Source organism: Homo sapiens, chromosome 17, assembly GCF_000001405.40.
Source record: "Homo sapiens chromosome 17, GRCh38.p14 Primary Assembly".
NCBI lineage: Eukaryota > Metazoa > Chordata > Mammalia > Primates > Hominidae > Homo > Homo sapiens.
Window position 1 is genome coordinate 57,834,528 of NC_000017.11, and position 16,850 is coordinate 57,851,377.

Here is a 16,850-nt window from a genome sequence, read left to right on the forward strand (position 1 = left end):
GAGGCCGTGCCAGCTTGCGTTGACTACCAGCACCACATCATGTTCTCTGCCCTAACTCCCATGTACTCAGGAAAACTGCCAGCCCATTCTGAGTCAGGCTTGGTCACAAATGAAAGCTGAGGATGGATGAGGCCCAACTCCGGGTGCCACGTCTGGATTCCCCGGAGCAGAGGCAGGCACCAGTGCCAGCCTCAGAGAAAATCTTACTGTCCCACTTGAGTGACTTTGTTTAAAAAAAGAAATCTGCTGAAGGTTTTTAAGTGGCACGCCATCATTTATTTACAGAGAAAGGTATCACTTTAACAAAATCAGGAGTCCTTCGGGGGCAGATTATTCTGTAATACCACTTTCATTATCAGAGAACTCTCGATACAAAGTGTTCTACAAAACTACAAGAAGAATCAGGCTAGCCTTTTAAGGACATCATCAAAAATCAGGCCTACCCAATAAAGGCAGAGGCAGAGCTCTATAAAATTTGGTGAATCCAGGACCACTTAAACAAGTCAGACATATAGATGATGGAAGACATGGGACGTGAATTTCTTTTGCTGGCTTTCTCATTCCTCCTATTCTATCACTTAAAGCATTTACCTGCCAGCCCCCAACATCCCAGATCTCTCCCCACTACCCTTGGAGAGCTCATTTCTTCTCCTGGCTCCAAATCTTGCCCCTGTAGACACCTATCCCTTATCTCTGTCTGCCACTTAGATATAGCACCATCACCTTCAACTTAGTAGGTTGAGAATTGAAGCTCTCTCCCAGGAGAGCACCAGTTCCACGTCACCAACTGGGTGTTAGTGATGCTGCTAAGTTTTCTAGTCACTCAGGTTTGTGACCTTGGACTTGCTGCCTCCTTTTTGGTCCCTCTGACATGTCTCCTCTTTCCTCCTTCCCTGCCCACTCCTCCATCCCATTCTTTACATCACTCCTAGGCAAACCTTTCTTTGACCTGACACTGCTTTCACTACATTCTTTCTTTCCCTGCTCAAACTTTCCCATACCCAACTGGCTCCTCCATGTAGTTGTCAAGGCCACCATGATCTTATCTCATCCTACCAGTTCAAATGGGCTTTTCCACTACTGCTCAAAATAGTAATAAAACCACCAGCCACACATTACAAATGAGCTTTGCACTCATCTCAATTAATCCTCACAAAGCTAACTGGAAGCCAAAAAGGCAAACATTGTCCATATTTTACAGGCTGAAATACTGTGACAGGCACAGGGTCACATAGTAAAAACTGCCTGGAGTATCCAGATCTAGAACCCAAATCTTCATTACTTGTCTGGGGCAAACTTCACTGTAACCTGGATATATGCCTTCCTCGCCTTGGATTCAGCAAATCCGTAGGAGGGTCTGCTCCTGAAAGGCTGTTTAATGTTTCAATGGGTTAAAAGAATAAGAATTTCTGCCCTCCTTTATACTTTTTTTTTTTTTTTTTTTGAGACAGTGTCTCTCTTCTGTCGCCCAGGCTGGGGTGCTGTAGCATGATCTCAGCTCACTGTAACCTCCACCTCCTGGGTTCAAGCGATTCTCCTGCCTCAGCCTGCCGAGTAGTTGGGATTACAGGAGGCTGCCACCACATCCAGCTAACTTTTGTATTTTTAGTAGAGATGGGGTTTCATCATGTTGCCCAGGCTGGTCTCAAACTCCTGACTTCAAGTGATCTACCCATCTTGACTTCCCAAAGTGCTGGGATTACATGAGCCACCACGCCCACCCTATACTCTTAATAGGTAAATAATCATTACTACTTGAATGAAGGCCACAGTAAATGAGGCAGGAGTACAAACAGTAGGCCAGGTAGACCAACAGCAGTGAAGCACCTTATGAACACAATCTGTAGGGGGTTCAGTAAGGGACTTGATATTATGTATTTTCCGAGCACAGACAGCATTTGAAAACGGCACGGAAGGTTCAATTCCTACAGACCATGGTAGAAGGGAGGGTGTTCCTGCCCAAAGAAACCGCATGTACATGTCCATCCCACTGCCTTTCCAGGCTCTCATGCAGTATTCCTAGACAAATCCAGAACTGATTCCTTGCCCCTGAACCTCTACTGTACTTTTATATCAAAGTTTAAAAGGATTCCTGTTCATCTTGCTGTTTCACAAGTCACTCTTGTAGTCCCAACTCGATTTTAAGATTTTTTTTTTTTTTTTTTTGAGACAGGGTCTTGCTCTGTCGCCCAAGCTGGAGTGCAGTGGCACAATCTCGGCTCAACTGCAGCCTCTGCCTCCTGGGTTCCAGCGATTCTCCTGCCTCAGCCTCCCGGGTAGCTGGTATTACAGGCACACGCCCGCACGCCCAGCTAATTTTTTTGTATTTTTAGTAAAGATGGGGTTTCACTATGTTGGCCAGGCTGGTCTCGAACTCCTGACCTCAGGTGATCCGCCCACCTTGGCCTCCCAAAGTGCTGGGATTACAGGCGTGAGCCATGGAGCCCGGCCTGATTTTAAGCTCTTTAAAGCCAAGAATGCGGTCATGCTTCCATTCTCTCCAAAACGTGATGGGGATCTGATGACAGCTTTTGCCCAAACTGTGGAAATAGTTCTGAGTTTCCAAAGTAAGCTTCATATCTTTCACTATGTTTTGATCACTAAGACTTAACCTAAAGAAGTCAATGAGTGACAGCAGCTTTCTCCCCATCCAGATATTTGCTATACAGGGATGGTCTTTCCCTTCTGGTCCAGAGTCCCAGTCTGGTTTAACAAGATCAGAATGTGTAGGGGAACGCATTCTCATACATTGCTATGAGAGTATAGTTAAGCACAATTTCTATGGACGAAGATATCAAAACTCAAAATGATCTGCTCCTTGATCCAGCATCCCATAACTCTAGCAGCCCATTTGCAACACAGTAAAACAAAGAACATTTTCTTCAATCGGGCACTGATTAAATCACAGTGGATCTCTGAGACATAGTAACTAGAAAAGCAAGGTACAGAACAGTATGCATAGTGTCCTGTCCATGCCCAAAATATTTCTGGAAGAGCGCACAAGGAAATGGTGATAGTGATGGCCTCAGGGAAGGGGAAAAGGGTGGCTGGGGAACAGGGGTGGGAGACTAGCTTTTTACTGTTAAGTTTTGAACCATGTGCATGTATAATTTTTTTAAAGAATTATGCAACAAATAACTTCTTTAAAAGTCTTCAGCCCCAGTACGGTCGCTCAGGCCTGTAATCCCAGCACTTTGGGCGGCTGAGGCAGGAGGATCGCTTGAGGCCAGGAGTTTGAGACCAGGCCAGCCTGGGCAACATAGCAAGACTCCATCTCTACAAAAAAAAACAAACAAAAAAAATGTTAAAGAGCCAGGCGTGGTGGCACATGCCTATAGTCCTAGCTATTCGGGAAGTGAGCCAGGATGGCTTCAGCCCAGGAGTTAAGACTGCGGCAGGGTATGCACCACTGCACCCAGCCTGGGTAACACAGTGAGACCCCCATCTCCTAAAACAAAATTAAAAAAAAAAAAAATTAAGGCCAGGCATGGTGGCTAACACCCGTAATCCCAGCATTTTGGGAGGTTGAGATGGGTGGATCACTTGAGGCCAGCAGTTTGAGATCAGCCTGGGCAACATGGTTAAAAGCCCGTTTCTACTAAAAATACAAAAATTAGCCGGGCGTCATAGCATACACCTGTAATCCCAGCTACTTGGGAGGCTGAGGCAGAAGAACTGCTTGAACCTGGGAGGCGGAGGTTGCAGTGGGCCAAGATGGCTCCACTGTACTCCAGCCTGGGAAACAAAGTGATACTCCATCGCAAAAAAAAAAAAAAAAAAAAAAAAAAAATTAAAAATCTACAGAGGAGGAAAACAAACAAAAATAGCAAAAATGGGACATCAATCCAGACATGAAGGAAAAAAACATTTTTTAAATATTCATCATTGTGGCAAAAAAAACCTGCCCTTAAAAAACCAGAAACCTAAGGTTTAAAGAGATGAGTGACCCCTCAATTGTTCCTCTGAGAATAGACTGTGTCTTTCACCTGCTTTTTAAGTCCTCTTCCCAAGGTCTGGCCCGATGTTTGGTCTCAATGGTTGTGTAATGTCTCTGAATGGATGAAATTTACTTCCCTACGGAAAAGTAAAGCATTCTCCAAATGCAAGCAGTTGTGAAACAGTGATAAAGGTCGAGGGGGAAGCAGCATGGCTGAGAGCTGCTTTTGCCTAATGTATTCATTCACCTGCATGAACCAAGCACCCACGTGCATGGATGTGTACTATATACAGACTGTGAGATGTGGACCTGCCTCACAGTGTACCAGGAGAGATGAGAGCATACACAAAGAATCACTGGGTAGAAAATCTACATGAGTTTTAAAATAGGGAATTTCTGAAGCAGCTTACTACTAACAGCTAAAAACCACTGGCTTGACCACATATACAAAGGCTGCAATCTCAGAGGGATATTTCATGTATTTAGTAAAACCTGGGGAAACGAGGAAGGCAGGGAAGTTGATAAGGACTTGTAGGCACACTTTGGCCCCAGGGAGGCAGGTGGATGCTGGTGGAGAGCATCACCTAAATTAGCTGCCTCCTTTCTTGGCAATCCTGTTATCTACACCATATGAATCCAGTCTTTAGCTGGATATAACCATTCGTTCACTCATTCATTCAACAAGTATTTACTGAACAGCCTAGTCTGTGCAGGCCTATGTTAACTGTCTCCAGCACACTCAATCCATGACATTAAAGTTACAGTTTTGGTCTTTGTGTATCAGCAATGACAGGTCCTCACTCTTACCACAAAGCGCAAGTCAGCTTGGCCTCTCAAGTGGAGAGATAATCGTTCTATAGCAAGAAGTACAAAGATTCTCTGCAGACAAAACCAGCTAGCCAAGGTTCCACAACATGTGTACACGTATAAGTCTGATGGATCAGAAGAAATATGTACCCGGGAATCAGATGTAGCCAGCCCACATACTAACAAACATCAAAGCAAGCCTAGTCAGATTGAGTCCCATTTGAACAATCTTTATAAAGGTTTCTTCATGTTATTTACAATTCAAAGTAAATTTACTTTATAAGCAGCTAGGGAATTCTTTATTTAGTAATGTCCTAACATAAAAGTTCACATAACTGCTTCTGTCAAACCATGATACTGAGCTTTGTGACAACCCAGAAATAACTAAGAGAAGGCAAACATAATACCTTAGAGATCAAGAAACATTTACACAGTTCAACTGTTTAAAAATAGCTCAACATTCAGCCAGTGAGTAGAGTGTGAATGCCAGCATACACAGTATACAGGTCCTTCAGGGAGGCAAGAGACCTTTCGACTGGTCTGCAGGTGCCTCCAAATGCTGGTCCTGTGGAACTTCTTTCTGAGTCTCGTTTTCTTCCAACGCAGTCTGTGGTCTGACACTCAAGTGTTCGGATTTCCGGGAAACGTGACTACCTCCGTGTTGCTTAAAAGACCAGATTTAAGTATCACAGAGATGTTATCATTTTCACTCAATTAATTCGCTAAAGATATATAACTAGGCACATTCTGTCACTGAGTGAAAAATTTAGCACTAATATCTTAGATCCAATTCTACTATAACAAATAGTAAACATGATTTTAAAAAGTCTATAGGGCCGGGCGTGGTGGCTCACGCCTGTAATCCCAGCACTTTGGGAGGCTGAGGCGGGCGGATCACGAGGTCAGGAGATCAAGACCATCCTGGCTAACACGGTGAAACCCCGTCTCTTCTAAAGCTACAAAAAATTAGCTGAGCATGGTGGCAGGCGCCTGTGGTCCCAGCTACTCGGGAGGCTGAGGCAGGAGAATGGCATGAACCTAGGAGGCAGAGCTTGCAGTGAGCCAAGACTGCGCCACTGCACTCCAGCCTGGGTGACAGAGCGAGACTCCGTCTCAAAAAAAAAAAAAAAAGTCTATAGAACCAAATTTCAAAAGCCCTAATGACGACTCACTTGTTTCAAGTAGCAGTCATTACCACAAAATTCTAGTATATTCAGTGTAACAGTATTTGACCTGGAGTTTAAGAACATAAGCCAAGGTTAGGGAAAGAAAACCAAGTCTCTCTTTAACTTCCATCAGATTGGCAACTCTGGTCAACCCTCTGCATCTACAGGTTCCACATATGCAGATTCAACAAACCACGGATCAAAAATATTTTAACAATAAATAAATAAAATAAAAAATATAAATTTTTAAAAATAGAGTATAACTACTTACATAGCATTTACAATGTGTTATGTATTATAAATGATTTAGAGATGATTAAAGTATATGGGAGGATATGTGTAGGTTATATGCAAAAACCACAGCACTTTATAAAAGGTATTTCAGCATCTGTGAATATTGGTATCTGCAGGGGCCCTAGCACCAATCCCCTGTGCATACTGAGGGACAACTATAAACCCAGTAACAATTTTAACAATGAAATACTCACAGTCCTTGCTTCGCCTACTCGTCTTAAAATGACACCTTCTGCCAATAAAGCCTTCCCTGTTTCCACAAATAACTTCTCTTCATCTGTTTCTCCAAGTTTCTGTAGCTCAGTGTACTTCTCCACAAACCTGTAATTCCAAGCAGTCACATTTTAGGTATGTTTGTAAGCATTGTTAAGACGCTGTTACACAATATCAAATGGATAACAAAATCCTTAAAAAATAATATGAATAGCCTAGGACTTATAAAATGGCTTACCGTTGACAGGTAGACTTGAAGTTTGGATTGAATAGATCAAAAGCTCTTTGACCAGACCCATACACTGAATAAAACTTCCTAGAAAATGCAAACAACATAATATAAATCTCCGATTATAGACTGTGGATGAGAATGGAATAAAAGAAATAAAGAATAAGTGCTAGGCACTGAGGAGTTAAGTACGGTATAACCCACATAGCCTAAGCTGAACAGTTTTGTTTTTTTAGATAAGTAATGCACACATGCACATGGTAAATACATCAAATAGCACAAAAGGGTGGCCAGTGAAAAGTAACACTCCCTCCCACTTCTGCACCCCAGCCCCCCAGTTCCCTTCCCAGGAAGCAACACTAACAAATTTCTTGTATATCCATCCAGAAATATTCCACTAATATACTAGCATATATGCACTATCATTCCCTGTCCCCAGCCACATTTTTAACCCCAAGAATAGTAAACCTTGCTCTACATCTTGCCTTTTTAAAAACTGAGGTATGGCTAGGCGCAGTGGCTCATGCCTATAATCCCAGCACTTTGGGAGGCTGAGGCAGGCAGATTACTTGCAACTGGGAGTTCAGCATGGTGAAACCCCATCTCTACTAAAAATACAAAGAAATTAGCAGGCATGGTGGCATATGCCTGTAGTCACAGCTACTTGGGAGGGTTAGGTGGGAGAATCACTTGAACCCAGGAGGCAGAGGTTGCAGTAAGTGGAGAGCGCACCATTGCACTCCAACCTGGGCAACAGAATGAGACTCCGTCTCAAAAAATAATAACAAAATAAAAATAAATAATAAAAACTGAGGTAAAAGTCACACATCATAAAATTAACTTTTTTTTTTTCCAAAGAGACAGGGTCTCACTGTGTCACCAACGCAGGTAGCAGTGCTGTGATCATAGCTCACTGCAGCCTCAAACTCCTGGGCTCAAGCAATCCTCTTGCCTCAGCATCCTGAGTAGCTGGAACTACAGGTTCGCAGCACCACCATGCCTGGCTAAGTTTTAAATTTTTGTAGAGATGCAGTCTCACTATGTTGCCCAGGCTGGTCTTGAACTGCTAGCCTCAAGAGATCCTCCCACCTTGGCTTCCAAAAATGCTGGGCTTACAGGCATGAGCCATTGTCCCCAGCCCACATTTAACATTTTTCAGTGTGCAATTAAGTGACATGTAGAAAACTCACAAAGCTGTGCAACTAGCACCTCTATCAAGTTCCAAAACATTTTCATCACCCCCAAAAGGAGGCACTGTATCTGAGCAGTCACTCCCCATTTCTCCTCCCTACATCTTGCCTTATCAGTGCCATGGAGATTGTTTCCAGTCCTTTACTACTCTAAACCATGCTGCAATCATTATCTCTATTTATAATTTTAGTGCACTACGTAAATAAGTCTGTGGCATAAATTCACAAATGTGGTACTACTGGATCAAGGTATGTGCATTTGTAATTAAGCCTTCCAAATTGCCAAAATGCTTTCCAAAGTGGCTGTACCAATTTACATTCACATAGGTAATATACGAGCACCTATCTCCCCACACCCTGACCAAATGACATTCTCCAGCTGAGCATAGAGGCTCACGCATATAATCCCACCTGCTTGGGAAGCTGAGGCATGAGGATCTTTTGAGGCCAGGAGCTCACCACCAGCTTGGGCAACATGGTGAGACCTGAGACCCTGTCTCTAAAAAAAAAAAAAAAATATATATATATACACACACACACACACACACACACACACACACACACACACACACGAGGCAGGTGCAGTGGCTCACACCTGTAATCCCAGCAAAAATATATATATATATTTAGACCAGGCGTGCTGGCTGATGCCTGTAATCCCAGCACTTTGGAAGGCCAAGGCAGGAGGATCACTTGAGGCCAGGAGTTCAAGACCAGCCTGGGCAATATAGTGGGACACCATCTCTACAAAAAAAATTAAAAATTAGCCAGGAATGGTGGCATACACCTGTAGTCCCAGCTACTCAGGAGGCTGAGGTGGGAGGATCACTTGAGTCCAGGAGGTCAAGGCTGCAGTAAGCCATGATAGGCACCACTGCATCCCAGTCTGGGTTAGATCCTGCCTCAAAAAAAAAAAAAAAATACACAAACACACACACACATGTTCTCCAACTTTTTGATCTTAGCCAACCTAATAGGTAAGAAACCAGAACTCTTTATAGTTTTAATTTGCTTTTCTTTTTAAAGAGACTGGACATCTTTTCAAGTTTAAAAGCAAACTGAATTTCCTTTTCTGTGAACTGTCCAAGTTCTTTGTCCGCTTTTCTATTTGGTGGTTGCTATGGACTAAACGTGTCCCACCAAAATTACTATGTTGAAATCCTAATCCCCATTGTGATGGTATTTAGAGATGGAGGCTTTGGGAGGTAATCAGGTCATGGTAATCAGCCCTCATGATGGGATTAGTGCCCCTATAAGAGATAGAAGAGAGCTTGCTACCACTCTCTGCTCCCCTCAATGTGAGGAATCAGGAAGACAGTCCTCCCCAGAACCTGACCCTGCTGGCACCCTGATCTCAGACTTCCTAGCCTCCAGAACTATGAGAAAGAAATTTCATTTGTTTATAAGCCACCTGGTCTATGGTAATTCGTTACACAGTGGTCTCTTTCTTAATGATTTCTAAGCAAACTTTGTAGCCATATACATAGAAAATTAGTCCTTTGTCATAACATTGCAAAGATCTTTCCCAGTTTGTTGGCTGTCTTTTGATTTTGCTTACAGTACTTTTTTATACAGAAAATTTTAATATTTTCTTTTTATGGCTTCTGAGTTTTATATCATGCTTAAAAAGACCTTTATCACTCAGATTATTTTTTTAATTCTCCCATGTTTTCTTCCAGTACTGTTATGATCTCACTTTTTACACTTAGATTTTAATACATCTTTTTTGTTTGTTTTATTTATTTTGTTGTAAGTTCCTTTTTCTTTTTTTTTTTTTTAAGAGATGGGGTCTTGCCATGTTGCCAGGCTGTTGTGAGTGCAGTGGCTATTCACAGATACAATCATAGTGTACTACAACCTTGAACTCCTAGACTCCAATGGTCCTCCTTCCTCAGCCTCCCAAGTAGCTGGAACTACAGGCATGCACAACCACTCTATAAGCTTTTTTAAATATCAAAACCACCAAAAAAAAAGAGGGCCACAAAGATAAAGGTTCAATAAATTATATAAATACAAGATAATATTTTGGTGTTAATAGAAATAATTTTTATATATTCTGACAATAGTAAAAAATTAAAAAATAAAAAAAGAATTTAAAGAAATAATATTTAACAGGCTGGGCATGGTGGCTCATGCCTGTAATCCCAGCACTTTGGGAGGCCAAGGTAGGTGAATCACTGGAGGTCAGAAGTTCAAGACCAGCCTGGCCAACATGGTGAAACCCTGTCTTCCTGAAAATACAAAAAAAAAAAAAAAAATTAGCCCGCCGTGGTGACACATGCCTGTAATCCCAGCTACTCGGGAGGCTGAGAAGGAGAAATGCTTGAACCCGGGAGGTGGAGGCTGCAGTGAGCTGAGATTGAACCACTGCACTCCAGCCTGGGAGAGAGAGAGAGAGCAAGACTCCATCTCAAAAAAAAAAAAAAAAAAGTAATATTTAACAAGAGGGACAAGTAAACTATTCCACATTCTCCAATCATTTATCATCCAGTCCAAATCTACAGCAGAAGCACAAATGATTTTTTAAATTTTTTATTTATTTATTTATTTTTGAGTCGGAGTCTCACTCTGTCACCCAGGCTGGAGTGAAATGGTGCAATCTCAGCTCACTGCAACCTCTGCCTCCTGGGTTAAAGCGATCCTCCCACCTCAGCCTCCAGACTAGCTGGGACTACAGGTGCATGCCACCACGCCCAGCTGATTTTTGCATTTTTAGCAGAGGTGGGGTTTCACCATGTTGCCCAGGCTGGTTTCGAACTCCTGACCTCAAGTGATCCACCCGCCTCGGCCTCCTGAAGTGCCAGGATTACATGTGAGAGCAAAGCACAAATGATTTTAATGTATCAATGAACCACAAAGTGCATGCAATGGGTCTGAGAAGAAAGGTGCTGAAAAAGCATTTAATCTCCTCAAAGATCTCATGTTGTATGCCGAAAATATCCAAGTAGAACAAGAACATACTTGTTCTGCTACTTTAAATGAGTGTTGGTGTTGGGGGTCCCGGGGTGAAAGCCTGGGCCCCAATTCGGAACATAATGACCTTATAAATTCCATTTTCTAGCATCCTGAAACAACAGTAAGAATAAGGGATGTGTATCAAAGTCAATTAGGCACACTCATTGGTATAAATATTTAAGAGAAAAAGGAACTAGACAAATTCAAGGTACTAAAAGCTAATTAACATCAGTATTCAAGGGGAGGGGCTTTGTCAGTAAACTCCCAGTGAGAGATTTACCACTTACTTAGATCTTACATAAATGTATAGGGATGCTAAATGTGGCCATAGAAGTGGTTTCTAGCCCACTGTTCCTGAAATTGTTTCAGAAAACTAATAAAATTCTGATGGCCATTCTCCAAACAGTCCCAGTCCTGGCCCTCCACCATTCCTCTCCAAGGAATTTTCTTTCGTTTCTCTCTACCAGCCTCATAGTTCATCTGTCCATTAATCCATTAGCTTCTTCATTCAAGAGACGATTAATAAGCAACTTATATGCCACACAATGGGCTAGGCACTGAAGTTACAAGAATGAATTTGACAATGCCTGGCCCATGACAGTGCTTAATGAATGTTTGTTATTGAATAAAGACAGGGCATTTGGAATGTAGAGCTATTAAAGACAGGCTAAGGCCACAACAGGGGCAGTATGAACAAAATTCAGGGCACACAAAAGGGGAAACATGAAAACAGAAAAGTAGTCCCAAAGAAGTGTGACATCTTTGTTTTTTTTTTTTGTATGAAAAAAATAAGGTGGGGGGCAGCCCCCACCCAGCCAGCCGCCCCGTCTGGGAGGGAGGTAGGGGGCAGTCCCTGCTCCGCCAGCCGCCCCGTCCGGGAGGGAGGTGGGGGGCAGCCCCCGCCTGGCCAGCCGCCCCGTCCGGGAGGGAGGTGGGGGGTAGCCACCGCCCGACCAGCCGCCCCGTCCGGGAGGGAGGTGGGGGGCACCCCCGCCCGGCCACTGCCCCGTCCGGGAGGTGGGGGGCACCTCTGCCCGGCCGCCCCGTCTGGGAAGTGAGGAGCCCCTCTGCCCGGCCGCCACCCCATCTGGGAGGAGTACCCAACAGCTCATTGAGAACGGGCCATGATGACGATGGGGGTTTTGTCGAATAGAAAAGGGGGAAATGTGGGGAAAAGAAAGAGAGATCAGATTGTTACTGTGTCTGTGTGGAAAGAGGTAGACATGGGAGACTCCATTTTGTTCTGTACTAAGAAAAATTCTTCTGCCTTGGGATGCTGTTAATCTATAACCTTACCCCCAACCCCCTGCTCTCTGAAACATGTGCTGTGTCCACTCAGGGTTAAATGGATTAAGGGCGGTGCAAGATGTGCTTTGTTAAACAGATGCTTGAAGGCAGCATGCTCGTTAAGAGTCATCACCACTCCCTAATCTCAAGTACCCAGGAACACAAACACTGCGGAAGAACGCAGGGACCTCTGCCTAGGAAAACCAGACACCCTTGTTCACATGTTTATCTGCTGACCTTCCCTCCACTATTGTCCTATGACCCTGCCAAATCCCCCTCTCCGAGAAACACCCAAGAATGATCAATAAATACTATAAAAAATAAAAAATAATAAAAATAAATTAAAAATAAAAAATAAAAAAAAGAAAAAATAGAGAACTTTAAAGATATTTTTAAGAATGTTGCTAGGAGGCCGGGCACGGTGGCTCACACCTGTAATCCCAACACTTTGGGAGGCAAGGCGGGCGGATCACGAGGTCAGGAGTTTGAGACCAGCCTGACCAACATGGTGAAACCCCATCTCTACTAAAAATACAAATTAGCCAGGCATGGTGGCGTGAGCCTGTAATCCCAGCTACTCAAGAGGCTGAGGCAGGAGAACAGCTTGAACCCGGGAGGTGGAGGTTGCATGGGGCTGAAATTACACCACTGCACTCCAGCCTGGGTGGCAGAGCGAGACTCCATCTCAAAAAAAAAAAAAAAGAATGTTCCTAGGCAACCATTAGGAGCACATTTTCTGTGACTATTTAAGTTTTGGAAAAAAAGAGAATAAAGAGGCCGGGCGCGGTGGCTCACGCCTGTAATCCCAGCACTTTGGGAGGCCGAGGCAGGCGGATCACGAGGTCAGGAGATTGAGACCATCCTGGCTAACACGGTGAAACCCTGTCTCTACTAAAAATACAAAAAATTAGCCAGCTGTGGTGGTGGGCGCCTGTAGTCCCAGCTACTCAGGAGGCTGAGGCAGGAGAATGGCATGAACCCGGAAGGCAGAGTTTGCAGTGAGCCGAGATTGCGCCACTGCACTCCAGCCTGGGAGACAGAGTGAGACTCCATCTCGAAAAAAAAAAAAATACTTAGATCAGAAAAAAACAAAACTTTTTTTTTTTTTGGAGACAGGGTCTCCCTCTGTTGCCCAGGCTGGAGTGCAGTGGTGCACTCTCAGCTCACTGCAACCTCCACCTTCTAGTTTCAAGCGATTCTCCCACCTCAGCATCCAAAGTAGCTGGGACTACAGGTGCCCACCACCAAGCCCGGCTAATTTTTGGTATTTTAGTCAAGACAGGGTTTCACCATATTGCCCAAGGTGGTCTCGAACTCCTGAGCTCAGGCAATCTGCCCACCTCAGCCTCCCAAAGTGCCAGGATTACAGGCGTGGGCCACCGTGCCTGGCCCAGAAAAAAAAAATTCTTAAATAATCATTATCAATACTGACAAGGATAAAGTAAGAACTCTCAGAAACTGCTAATCAGAGTGTAAACTAAGACAACTACTTTTTTTTTGGTAGAGACAAGTCCTGCTATGTTGCCCAGGGTGGTCTCAAACTCCTGGGCACAAGCTATCCTCCCTTATGCCTCCCAAAGCACTAGGATTACAGGCACAAGCCACCACATCCAGCCTGTGATTTCTTTTTATGCTTTCTTTGTGTATCTAAATTTTCTACAAGTAGCATGTGTTGCTTTTATAATAAAAGAGGAAGTATTCTTGCCACTGAGCTTAAGAAAAAGAAAAAAAAAGAGAAAAGGGATGCTAAAAAAAAATAAAGAACACATGATTTTCCTTCAAATTCCTAGTGATTGTCTCTCTCTGTCGCCCAGGCTGGAGTGCAGTGGTGGGATCTCGGCTCACTGCAACCTCCACCTCCCAGGTTCAAGCAATTCTCCTGTCTCAGCCTTCCGAGTAGCTGGGACTACAAGCACCCACCACCATGCCCGGCTAATTTTTGTATTTTTAGTAGAGACGGGGTTTCACCATGTTGGTCTGACTGGTCTCGAACTCCTGACTTCAGGTGATCCGCCCGCCTTGGCCTCCCAAAGTGTTGGGATTACAGGCGTGAGCCACCGCACCCGGCCTCTCTTAGACTTTCAAGCATCCTTTCATCTGAGTGGCTTCAAAGAGCCGGACTACTAGATCCACAGACCACGTTCCTCCTATCTCCACTCGTGGAGAAGGCCGGCATAATGATCACCATAAGCTTGGAGTCAGAGATGTGATTCCCAGATCTGCCACCCTCCTATATATTTAGTAATTACAAGAAGTTAGCTAATTTCCTTGAGCTTCGCAGTCTCCTTGAATAAAATGGAAACAAGAATGCCTTCCTTACAAGTTAGAGTAAGGCCTTTAGAGAATGAGATAATGCTTGCAAAGAGCTTAGTACAGTGCCTGGCCCAAAGCAGATGCCCAGAAACATGCGGCTATAATTGCAATGATCTTTCGGTTGCTGGGCTCCAGATTCCACTTTTCAGAACTTCAGTTTCACTATGAGGAAGGGGTGCTGCCTCCCTAATTTGGCTAGATAAGCCTTCTCCACAGGGCAAACCCCTGACTCAATTTCATGTTTGAATTCCCAGACTGCTACCGAAACCTTCCCTTCTGAAGTTCTGTTGCCTCCTGTCCACTACAGGGCTGAGCACTCACGCTCTAATCCGATCCTCGTGGTACCAGATGTCTTGGATGGGAGCTTTGGCTTTGCCATATCGCACTCGAGGCCTTTGGAAGACGGGCTCCCTCAGCGGGGGAAAGGCGTCATATACGTCAAACCACAGGGGCTTCTCCTTCAGCACCCCGGCCCGAACCAGGTCCCGAGTCCTTAGGGAGGGAACAGAACGAAACTGGGTCACTTGCAGTAGCCTGCCAAAGCCCCTGAATCAGTCTAGCACAGTTTGGGACATTAAAGGTATTATGCGGTCTGCAACACAGAACGGGGAAGGACTGCTCCCCACCTACAGAGAAGATCTGTCCACATCCCAAACCAAACTTAACAACGCTCAGGAGAGTTAAATCCCTCTATCTTCTTTTGTGCGTCCCACCCACGTTCGGTCACGGAAAAATGCAAAGAGCGGTCTTGCATGACCTGATAAGGAAGGCCCATCAGGCTCTTCCTCCCTTCCTCTTCCTAGAGACCTCCACTCGGGGAGAGGCAGCTGCAATAATCTTTAACATGACACATAAATTCAAGGAGAGGCATCCTCAGGCACAACTATTCGGAGCCAGGAGAAAACATGAGAGGGCCTCACCCAGCTCAGCCCCCGCACCCTGCAATACGCCTCGCCCTGCTCAGGTCCGCTCCAAGGAAGAGCGTGACCGGCTGAGAACCCCAGCCTGGGGGAGGCACCCTCAGCCCACCACGGCTGGGAGCACACACCGAGAGAAGATGCTCCCTACGGTTTCCAGCCGGCTGCCTGCCATGATCTGCGCCTGGTACCGAGCGTGACTAGCTGCTACCGGAACCGGAAGCGGCTGCTCCAGGTAAAGGGCGCATAAGTTGCTGGCCGAGCCAAGGATCGCTGGGCTTTCACCGCAGCCCCTGCGGGAGAGCGGCGCAGGCAGAAGCAAGTGATAGGCCGAACGGGCGCGCTCCGAGGTTACTTGCCAGGTTCAGGCAGGAGCACTCGATAGCCGAGCCAAAAGGGCAGGAGCGAGCCAAAGCCGGACAGAAGTAATAAATGACCGAGCTGTGGGAGGGATTCATCATGATGGTTGCTTTACTCTCTCTCGCCTTGTTGAGCCAACTCCTCTGAAAAGGTGGGGCCGCGCGGAGGAGAAGTAGTGGGGCAGAGCAGGGGTGAAGCGCAGCCTACAGTCCTAGGGGAGCCAACAAAGGCCGAGATTTGAGGTCACCAGCTCTAGGCCCAGGCTGAGCCTAATGTTGTTTAGAGTCACAGACTACGCAGAAGAAAACCAAGGCCGGGGAGGGGCCGTCACTTGCCCAGCGTCGTGCTAGATCTCGGGCCTCCGCCTCTGGCTGTGTAGTGCTCCCCACTAAGCCCCTCGTCCCCGGAGTGCCACCTGCATCCACGCTAACTAGGATGCTGGCTGCAACTCGTGTTTCCCGCGGCCGGTGTCGCGGGCTACCTCCTCCTTGGAACTCGAAAAGTGAAAGTGTCCGGAACAAACAGACGCCGAGAGGGAAACGAAAAAATCTGGAGAAAGTCATCTCTCAGTGTTAAACTGTAAAAAAATATAAACTGTGTGTAGCATACCCTTTGACCCAGTAATCATATTTCGGGGAAAGAACCCCTTAGAAATTAAAGCATCAATTCATGAGGATGTTTGTGCAAGGATCATCGTTGCAGCATTGTTTGTAGTGGGAAAAAAAATCCATCAGATGAGAAATAGCTGGAAAATTATTGTTCATACTTTCTTTGGAACCCTATGCAGCTATTAAAATGAATGAGCTAGATCCACATGTATTTACCAAGGTTAAGGTACATGACTTATGTTTAAATGAAAAACGAAGTTGCAAAGAAACATGTTTAGTGGAATCTCAACGTGTTAGAAAAAAAAAAGGAAAAAGAAACACCTCTATATATGTTTGTGTTTGAGGATAGAAATTCTGCAGAAGGACACCCAAGGCTGTGAACATTGGATATCTCGGAGTGAAACTGCAGGCAGGCAAGGGAGAATTTTTTCTTCCTTTACACATGCTTCAGAGTTTGACTTGTAAAGAGATTGTATTCATATTTGAACTTTTAATCCAATGAATGTTTTGAATCACACACAATGTCTCCTGGGAGCCTAGTCAAGTCATCCTAGAGTCCTCCCACTCTGAGGCT

The 16,850-nt window shown here is 44.9% G+C and overlaps 1 protein-coding gene across 1 annotated transcript, besides 4 other annotated features; it reads right to left on the reverse strand.

Annotated features, from left to right (window-relative positions):
- Positions 254 to 15,517, reverse strand: MRPS23 (mitochondrial ribosomal protein S23). Its single transcript, NM_016070.4, has 5 exons — positions 15,440 to 15,517; positions 14,713 to 14,883; positions 6,656 to 6,733; positions 6,399 to 6,525; positions 254 to 5,408 (listed from the first exon to the last, which is right to left on the reverse strand). Exons 1-5 carry the CDS (start codon positions 15,481 to 15,483, stop codon positions 5,256 to 5,258), a joined length of 573 nt encoding a protein of 190 aa, NP_057154.2. The 5' UTR covers positions 15,484 to 15,517; the 3' UTR covers positions 254 to 5,255.
- Positions 11,705 to 12,312: an enhancer, noted in NCBI's record as "NANOG-H3K27ac-H3K4me1 hESC enhancer chr17:55923593-55924200 (GRCh37/hg19 assembly coordinates)". NCBI's record gives its function as "activates a minimal SCP1, AML or CMV promoter by ChIP-STARR-seq in naive H9 embryonic stem cells {active_cell/tissue: H9 hESC(naive)}" and the evidence as "EXISTENCE:reporter gene assay evidence [ECO:0000049][PMID:30033119]".
- Positions 15,498 to 15,827: an enhancer, noted in NCBI's record as "active region_12447". NCBI's record gives its function as "activates an Ori minimal core promoter by ATAC-STARR-seq in GM12878 lymphoblastoid cells {active_cell/tissue: GM12878}" and the evidence as "EXISTENCE:reporter gene assay evidence [ECO:0000049][PMID:35858748]".
- Positions 15,498 to 16,012: a biological region, named in NCBI's record as "H3K27ac hESC enhancer GRCh37_chr17:55927391-55927900".
- Positions 15,503 to 16,012: an enhancer, noted in NCBI's record as "H3K27ac hESC enhancer chr17:55927391-55927900 (GRCh37/hg19 assembly coordinates)". NCBI's record gives its function as "activates a minimal SCP1, AML or CMV promoter by ChIP-STARR-seq in naive and primed H9 embryonic stem cells {active_cell/tissue: H9 hESC(naive and primed)}" and the evidence as "EXISTENCE:reporter gene assay evidence [ECO:0000049][PMID:30033119]".